This window comes from Homo sapiens, chromosome X (assembly GCF_000001405.40).
Source record: "Homo sapiens chromosome X, GRCh38.p14 Primary Assembly".
In the NCBI taxonomy this organism is placed as follows: Eukaryota; Metazoa; Chordata; class Mammalia; order Primates; family Hominidae; genus Homo; species Homo sapiens.
Window position 1 is genome coordinate 46050169 of NC_000023.11, and position 9933 is coordinate 46060101.

At 40.3% G+C, this 9933-nt stretch overlaps 1 pseudogene; it reads right to left on the reverse strand.

Annotated features, from left to right (window-relative positions):
- Positions 1 to 8383: 8383 nt before the first annotated feature.
- Positions 8384 to 9489, reverse strand: PCNAP3 (proliferating cell nuclear antigen pseudogene 3; annotated as a pseudogene).

Sequence of the window (9933 nt, forward strand, 5' to 3'; positions counted from 1 at the left end):
GTATAGTGTTGGTAGAAGGATAGACAAATAGGTCAATAGAACAGAATAGAAAGCCCAGAAATAGACTCGCATCAATAAAATCAACTGATAATTGACAAAAGAACAAAGGCAATTCAATGGAGCAGAGAGAGTCTTTTCAACAAATGCTGCTGAAACAATTGGACATCCACATGCAAAAGAAGTTAATCTAGACTCAAACCTTACATTCTTCACAAAAATTAAAATCAATTAAAGACTTAAATGTAAAACACAAAACTATAAAATTCCTAGAACATAACCTAGGAGAAAATTTAGATGACCTTGGGTTTGGTGATGACTTTTTAAATATGACACAGAAAGCACACTCCATGGAAGAAAGAATTGATAATTTGGACCTAATTAAAATTAAAATTTTACGTTCTGCAAAATATACTATCAAGAGAGTGAAAAGACAAGCCACAGTCTGGGAGAAAATATCTTCAAAAGACATATTTGATAAAGAACTGTTATGTAAAATATACAAAGAACTTTTAAAATTTAACAGTAAGAAAATGAACAACCTGATTTTTAAAAATGAGTCAAGACCTTAAAAGAAACCTTCCCAACAGAGATACATAGATCCCAAATACACACTTGAAAAGATGCTCCATGTAATATGTCTTCAGAGAGATGCAAATTAAAACAACACTGAGATAGCACTACACGCCTATTAAAATAGTTAAAATCCAAAACACTGGCAACACCAAATGCTGGTGACAATGTGGAGCAACAGGAATTCTCATTCATTGCTGATGGAACTGCAAAGGGTTACATCCATTTTAGAAAATATTTGGCAGTTCCTTATGAAACATTCTCTTACCATATGATACAGCAATCATGCTCCTTGGTGTTTACCCAAAGGAGTTGAAAACATGTCCACACAAAAACCTGCACATGAATGTTTTTAGCAGCTTTATTTGTAATTGCCAAAACGTGGAAGCAACCAAGATATCCTTCAGTAGGTAAGTGAATAAACTGTGTTATACTCATACAATGGAATAGTATTCAGTTTTAAGAAGAAATGGATTATCAACCCATTTAAAGACATGGATGAAGCTTAAATGCATATTACTAAGTGAAAGAAGCCAATCTGAAATGGGTCTATAATGTATAATTACAACTCTTTGACGTTCTGTGAAGACAAAACTACGAAGACAGTAAAAAGATCAATGGTTTCCAGGGTTTAGAAGGAAGAAAAGGATGAATAGCCAGGGCACAGAGAATTTTTAGGGCAGTAAAACTACTCTGTATGATACTATAATGGTAAATATATATCATTATATATTTGCCCAAACCCATAGAATGTACAACACCAAGTGCGAACCCTAATGTAAACTACAAACTTTAAGTGATAATGATGTGATGTGTTAATGTAGGTTCATCAATTGTAACAAATGTAACTCTCTGGCATGGTGGGGGTTGGGGGGATGTTGCTAGAGGGGGAGGCTGTGCACATGTGGGGGAAGGGATTATATGGGACATCTCAGTACCTTCTGCTCAATTTTGCTGTGAACCTAAAACTGTTCTAAAAAATTAAAGCCTATTTTTTTTAAAAAAAAGATGGCACCTCTGTCTTGTTCTTAAGTTTTATGGGCATGTTTCCAGTTTTTCAAATGATGTTTCCCATAAATTGTGATGGATACTTTTATTAGGTTAGAGAAGTTACCTTTTTTCTGAATTTGCTAAAGGATTTTTTTCTGCATTGACTTTTATTCAATATGTTTTTGATATCACTCTACTTTTATCTGTTAACATAGCATATTTATTACATTAATAGACTTTTTTGAAATTCAAGTAACTTTATTTAAATTCAAAAACAATTCTTTTATTTACTTTATTTATTTATTTATTTATTATACTTTAAGTTTTAGGGTACATGTGCACAACATGCAGGTTCGTTACATATGTATACATGTGGCATGTTGGTGTGCTGCACCCATTAACTCGTCATTTAGCATTAGGTATATCTCCTAATGCTATGCCTCCCCCCTCCCCCTTCCCCCCACCCCACAACAGGCCCCGGTGTGTGATGTTCCCCTTCCTGTGTCCATGTGTTCTCATTGTTCAATTCCCACCTATGAGTGAGAACATGTGGTGTTTGGTTTTTTGTCCTTGCGATAGTTTGCTGAGAATGATGGTTTCCAGCTTCATCCATGTCCCTACAAAGGACATGAACTCATCATTTCTTATGGCTGCATAGTATTCCATGGTGTATATGTGCCACATTTGCTTAATCCAGTCTATCATTGTTGGACATTTGGGCTGGTTCCAAGTCTTTGCTATAGTGAATAGTGCCGCAATAAACATACGTGTGCATGTGTCTTTATAGCAGCATGATTTATAATCCTTTGGGTATATACCCAGTAATGGGATGGCTGAGTCAAATGGTATTTCTAGTTCTAGATCCCTGAGGAATTGCCACACCGACTTCCACAATGGTTGAACTAGTTTACAGTCCCACCAACAGTGTAAACGTGTTCCTATTTCTCCACATCCTCTCCAGCACCTATTGTTTCCTGACTTTTTAAAGATCACCATTCTAACTGGTGTGAGATGGTATCTCATTGTGGTTTTGATTTGCATTTCTCTGATGGCCAATGATGATGAGCATTTTTTCATGTGTCTTTTGGCTGCATAAATGTCTTCTTTCAAGAAGTGTCTGTTCATATCCTTCACCTACTTGTTGATGGGGTTGTTTGTTTTTTTGTTGTAAATTTGTTTGTGTTCATTGTAGATTCTGGATATCAGCCCTTTGTCAGATGAGTAGATTGCAAAAATTTTCTCCCATTCTGTAGGTTGCCTGTTCACTCTAATGATAGTTTCCTTTGCTGTGCAGAAGCTCTTTGGTTTAATTAGATCCCATTTGTCAATTTTGGCTTTTGTTGCCATTGCTTTTGGTGCTTTAGACATGAAGTCGTTGCCCATGCCTATGTCCTGAATGGTAATGCCTAGGTTTTCTTCTAGGGTTTTTATGGTTTTAGGTCTAACGTTTAAGTCTTTAATCCATCTTGAATTAATTTTTGTATAAGGTGTAAGGAAGGGATCCAGTTTCAGCTTTCTACGTATGGCTAGCCAGTTTTCCCAACACCATTTATTAAATAGGGAATCCTTTCCCCATATCTTGTTTTTTTCAAGTTTGTCAAATATCAGATAGTTGTAGATATGCGGCATTATTTCTGAGGGCTCTGTTCTGTTCCATTAGTCTATATCTCTGTTTTGGTACCAGTACCCTGCTGTTTTGGTTACTGTAGCCTTGTAGTATAGCTTGAAGTCAGGTAGCATGATGCCTTCAGCTTTGTTCTTTTGGTTTAGGATTGACTTGGCAATGCGGGCTCTTTTTTGGTTCCATATGAACTTTAAAGTAGTTTTTTCCAATTCTGTGAAGAAAGTCATTGGTAGCTTGATGGGGATAGCATTGAATCTATAACTTACCTTAGGCAGTAAGGCCATTTTCACGATATTGATTCTTCCTACCCATGAGCATGGAATGTTCTTCCATTTGTTTGTATCCTCTTTTATTTCATTGAACAGTGCTTTGTAGTTCTCCTTGAAGAGGTCCTTCACATCCCTTGTAAGTTGGATTCCTAGGTATTTTATTCTCTTAGTAGCAATTCTGAATGGGAGTTCACTCATGATTTGGCTCTCTGTTTGTCTGTTATTGGTGTATAGGAATGCTTGTGATTTTTGCACATTGATTTTGTATCCTGAGACTTTGCTGAAGTTGCCTATCAGCTTAAGGAGATTTTGGGCTGAGACAATGGGGTTTTCTAGATATACAATCATGTCATCTGCAAACAGGGACAATTTGACTTCCTCTTTTCCTAATCAAATACCCTTTATTTGCTTCTCCTGCCTGATTGCCCTGGCCAGAACTTCCAACACTATGTTGAATAGGAGTGGTGAGAGAGGGCATCCCTGTCTTGTGCCAGTTTTCAAAGGGAATGCTTCCAGTTTTGGCCCATTCAGTATGATATTGGCAGTGAGTTTGTCATAGATAACTCTTATTATTCTGAGATACGTCCCATCAATACCTAATTTATTGAGAGTTTTTAGCATGAAGGGCTGTTGAATTTTGCCAAAGGCCTTTTCTGCATCTATTGAGATAATCATATGGTTTTTGTCATTGGTTCTGTTTATATGCTGGATTACATTTATTAATTTGCGTATGTTGAACCAGCCTTGCATCCCAGGGATGAAGCCCTCTTGATCATGGTGAATAAGCTTTTTGATGTGCTGCCAGATTCGGTTTACCAGTATTTTATTGAGGATTTTTGCATTGATGTTCATCAGGGATATTGGTCAAAAATTCTCTTTTTTGGTTGTGTCTCTGCTAGGCTTTGGTATCAGGATGATGCTGGCCTCATAAAATGAGTTATGGAGGATTCCCTCTTTTTCTTTTTCTTTTTTTTTTTTTCTTAAGACAGAGTCTCACTCTGTCACCCAGGCTGGAGTGCAGTGGCGCGATCTAGGCTCACTGCAAACTCCGCCTCCTGGGTTCACACCATTCTCCTGCCTCAGCCTCCCAAGTAGCTGGGACTACAGGCACCTGCCACCACGCCCGGCTATATTTTTGTATTTTTAGTGGAGACGGTGTTTCACCATGTTGTCCAGGATGGTCTCCATCTCCTGACCTTGTGATCTGCCTGCCTCAGCCTCCCAAAGTGCTGGGATTAAAGGCATGAGCCACCGCGCCTGGCCAATTCCCTCTTTTTCTATTGATTGGAATAGTTTCAGAAGGAATGGTACCAGCTCCTCCTTGTACCTCTGGTAGAATTTGGCTGTGAATCCATCTGGTTCTGGACTTTTTTTGGTTCGTAAGCTCTTAATTATTGCCTCAATTTCAAAGCCTGTTATTGTTCTATTCAGAGATTCAACTTCTTCCTGGTTTAGTCTTGGGAAGGTGTATGTGTTGAGGAATTTATCCATTTCTTCTAGATTTTCTAGTTTATTTGCATAGAGGTGTTTACAGTATTCTCTGATGGTAGTTTGTATTTCTGTGGGATCAGTGGTGATATCCCCTTTGTCATTTTTTATTGCATCTATTTGATTCTTCTCTCTTTTCTTCTTTATTAGTCTTGCTAGCGGTCTATCAATTTTGCTGATCTTTTCAAAAAACCAGCTCCTGGATTCATTGATTTTTTTAAGGGTTTTTTATGTCTCTATCTCCTTCAGTTCTGCTCTGATCTTAGTTATTTCTTGCCTTCTGCTAGCTTTTGAATGTGTTTGCTCTTGCTTCTCTAGTTCTTTTAATTGTGATGTTAGGGTGTCAATTTTAGTTCTTTCTTGCTTTCTCTTGTGGGCATTTAGTGCTATAAATTTCCCTCTACACACTGCTTTGAGTGTGTCCCAGAGATTCTGGTATGTTGTGTCTTTGTTCTCATTGGTTTCAAAGAACATCTTTATTTCTGCCTTCATTTCATTATGTACCCAGTAGTCATTCAGGAGCAGGTTGCTCAGTTTCCATGTAGTTGAGCTGTTTTGAGTGAGTTTCTTAATGCTGACTTCTAGTTTGATTGCACTGTGGTCTGAGAGACAGTTTGTTATAATTTCTGTTCTTTTACATTTGCTGAGGAGTGCTTTACTTCCAACTATGTGGTCAATTTTGGAATAGGTGTGGTGTGGTGCTGAAAAGCATGTATATTCTGTTGATTTGGGGTGGAGAGTTCTGTAGATGTCTGTTAGGTCTGATTGGTGCAGAGCTGAGTTCAATTCCTGGGTATCCTTGTTAACTTTCTGTCTTGTTGATCTGTCTAATGTTGACAGTGGGATTTTAAAGTCTCCCATTATTATTGTGTGGGAGTCTAAGTCTCTTTGTAGGTCTCTAAGGACTTGCTTTATGAATCTGGGTGCTCCTGTATTGGGTGCATATATATTTAGGATAGTTAGCTTTTCTTGTTGAATTGATCCCTTTACCATTATGTGATGGCCTTCTTTGTCTCTCTTGATCTTTGTTGGTTTAAAGTCTGCTTTATCAGAGACTAGGATTGCAACCCCTGCCTTTTTTTGTTTTCCATTTGCTTGGTAGATCTTCCTCCATCCCTTTATTTTGAGCCTATGTGTGTCTCTGCACATGAGTTGGGTTTCCTGAATACAGCACACTGATGGGTCTTAACTCTTTATCCAATTTGCCAGTCTGTGTCTTTTAATTGGAGCATTTAGCCCATTTACATTTAAGGTTAATATTGTTATGTGTATATTTGATCCTGTCATTATGATGTTAGCTGGTTGTTTTACTCGTTAGTTGATGCAGTTTCTTCGTAGCCTCGATGGTCTTTACAATTTGGCATGTTTTTGCAGTGGCTGGTACCAGTTGTTCCTTTCCATGTTTAGTGCTTCCTTCAGGAGCTCTTGTAGGGGAGGCCTGGTGGTGACAAAATCTCTCAGCATTTGCTTGTCTATAAAGGATTTTATTGCTCCTTCACTAATGAAGCTTAGTTTGGCTGGATATGAAATTCTGGGTTGAATATTCTTTTCTTTAAGAATGTTGAATATTGGCTCCCACTCTCTTCTGGCTTGTAGAGTTTCTGCTGAGAGATCAGCTGTTAGTCTGATGGGCTTCCCCTTGTGGGTAACCCAACCTTTCTCTCTGGCTGCCCTTAACATTTTTTCCTTCATTTCAACTTTTGTGAATCTCACAATTATGTGTCTTGGAGTTGCTCTTCTCGAGGAGTATCTTTGTGGCATTCTCTGTATTTCCTGAATTTGAATGTTGGCCTGCCTCACTAGATTGGGGAAGTTCTCCTGGATAATATCCTGAAGAGTGTTTTCCAACTTGGTTCCATTCTCCCAGTCACTTTCAGGTACACCAATCAGACATAGATTTGTTCTTTTCACATAGTCCCATATTTCTTGGAGGCTTTGTTTCTTTCTTTTTATTCTTTTTTCTCTGAACTTCTCTTCTCACTTCATGTCATTCATTTGATCTTCAATCACTGATACCCTTTCTTCCAGTTGATCAAATCGGCTACTGAGGCTTGTGCATTTATCACGTAGTTCTCATGCCGTGGTTTTCAGCTCCATCAGGTCTTTTAAGTACTTCTCTGCATTGATTATTCTAGTTAGCCATTCATCTAATTTTTTTTCAAGGTTTTTAACTTCTTTGCCATGGGTTTGAACTTCTTCCTTTAGCTCGGAGTAGTTTGATCGTCTGAAGCCTTCTTCTCTCAATTCGTCAAAGTCATTCTCCGTCCAGCTTTGTTCCGTTGCTGGTGAGGAGCTGCGTTCCTTTGGAGGAGGAGAGGCACTCTGATTTTTAGAGTTTCCAGTTTTTCTGCTCTGTTTTTTCCCCATCTTTGTGGTTTTATCTACCTTTGGTTTTTGATGATGGTGATGTACAAATGGGGTTTTGGTGTGGAAGTCCTTTCTGTTTGTTAGTTTTCCTTCTAACAGTCAGGACCCTTAGCTGCAGGTCTGTTGGAATTTGCCAGAGGTCCACTCCAGACCCTGTTTGCCTGGGTATCAGCAGTGGAGGCTGCAGAACAGCGGATATTGGTGAACAGCAAACGTTGCTGCCTGATCATTCCTCTGGAAGTTTTGTCTCACAGGAGTACCCGGCCATTTGAGGTGTCAGTCTGCCCCTACTGGGGGGTGCCTCCCAGTTAGGCTACTCAGGGGTCAGTGACCCACTTGAGGAGGCAGTCTGCCTGTTCTCAGATCTCAAGCTGTGTGCTGGGAGAACCACTACTCTGTTCAAAGCTGTCAGACAGGGACATTTAAGTCTGCAGAGGTTTCTGCTGCCTTTTGTTTGGCTGTGCCCTCCCTGCAGAGGTGGAGTCTACAGAGGCAGGCAGGCCTCCTTGAGCTGCGGTGGGCTCCACCCAGATTGAGCTTCCCAGCCACTTTGTTTACCTACTCAAGCCTTGGCAATGGGGAGCGTCCCTCCCCCAGCCTCACTGCCACCTTGCAGTTTGATCTCAGACTGCTGTGCTAGCAATGAGCGAGGCTCCGTGGACATAGGACCCTCCGAGCCAGGCACGGGATATAATCTCCTGGTGTGCCATTTGCTAAGACCATTGGAAAAGCGCAGTATTAGGGTGGGAGTGACCCCTCTGTCACCCCTTTCTTTGGCTAGGAAAGGGAATTCCCTGACCCCTTGCACTTCCTGGGTGAGGCAATGCCTCACCCTGCTTCAGCTCATGCTCAGTGCACTGCACCCACTGTCCTGCACCCACTGTCCAACACTCCCCAGTGAGTTGAACCCGGTACCTCAGTTGGAAATGCAGAAATCAGCCATCTTCTGCATCGCTCATGCTGGGAGCTGTAGCAAAAACAAATCTTAAAACTGCATTTAGAGTCAAGACCCTATTGTATTGTAAAAATCACAAGTATTTCTAAGAGAGAAAAATAGTTCTAGGTTAACTAGACCAGATCTGACTGACTTTGGACTTTATTCTTTAAACAAATTGCAGAGAATAGAGAAAAAGGTTATTTACAGAAAACAATATCTACATATGTACTTAGAGGTACAAATTTGGTGGCAGAAAAGACTTCAGTATATGCTGGCATCTCAGAAGCAGTTCTCAAAGAGCTTAGTTTTATTTTCTTGAATTTTATGAATGCCTAAGGTCCTTCTTCATCCTCCATCTTGGGAGCCAAGTAGTACTTTAAGTGTCCCACATCAGCAATTTTATAGTCTACAACAAGGTGTATGTCTGCAGACATATTGAGTGTCACCATTGAAGAGAGTGGAGTGGCTTTTGTAAGGAAGTTCAGGTACCTCAGTGCAAAAGTTAGTTGAACTGGTTCATTCATCTCCATGGTAACAGCTTCCTCCTCTTTATCGACAGTACTTGTCTGTGACAATTTGTTTTCTATTTCCAAGGTCTCCACTTGCAGAAAATATAATTCCATCTTTTACACCGGAAATTACAACAGCATCTCCAATATGGCTGAGATCTCAGCATATACTTGCAAATTCACCAGAAAGCATCTTTACTACATAGTGGTACTCTTGTTCTGCAATTCCAAGTTGTTCAACATCCAAATCCATCAACTTAATTTCATAGTCTGAAACCTTCTCCTGATTTGAAGCTTCAAATACTAGCACCAAGGTATTCACATTATCTTCAATCCTTAGTGTAACGATATCTTCATTGCCAGCACATTTTAGTATTTTGGACATAATAGTGAGGTTCACGCCCATGGCCAGGTTGCAGTCACAGCGGTAAGTGTCAAAGCCCTCAGACGGCAGGGTGAACTGCAGCAAGGAGACGTGGACGAATCCATGCTCTGCAGGTTCACGCCGCTCGAGCTGATGTCCCAGCAGGCCTCGTTGATGAGGTCCTTGAGTGCCTCCAACACCTTCTTCAGGATGGAGCCCTGGACCAGGGGCACCTCGAACATGGTGGCAGAGTGGCAACAACGCGGCTACAGGCGGGCGGAAAGTAGGAAAGTCTAGCCAGTTTTGGCTTCACGAGCCTCAGAGCAAGCAGGCGAATGCCATAGGGAGAGGCTGAGACCTAGAATGACAACCATTAATAGACTTTTTAACGTTTAATCATCCTTGCATCACTGGAATGTACTCTACTTATTCCTGGGATAAACTCTACCTGGTTGTCCTAAGCAGAATTCTAAGATGGCCCCTGTGATTCCCACTCCCTGGTATCCTTGCCTTTGTGAAATCATCTCCCCTTGAGTGTGAGTGGAACATATAAGTTGCTTCTAACCAGTAGAATTTGGCAAAGCGAAGGGATTTTTCAGATGCAATTAAAGTCCTTATTCAGTTGACTTTGAGTTAATTAAAAGAGAGATTCCCTGGGTGGGCTTGACCTACTCAGGCAAGCTCTTTAAAAGAGGGTCTAGTGATTAGAGAGATTCTGCTGCTGGCCTTGAAGAAACATGCCCCTATGAGTTCCACAGCTTCAAGAAAATGAGTTCTGCCAACAACTTGTGAGCTTGGAAGAAGACTCCAATACT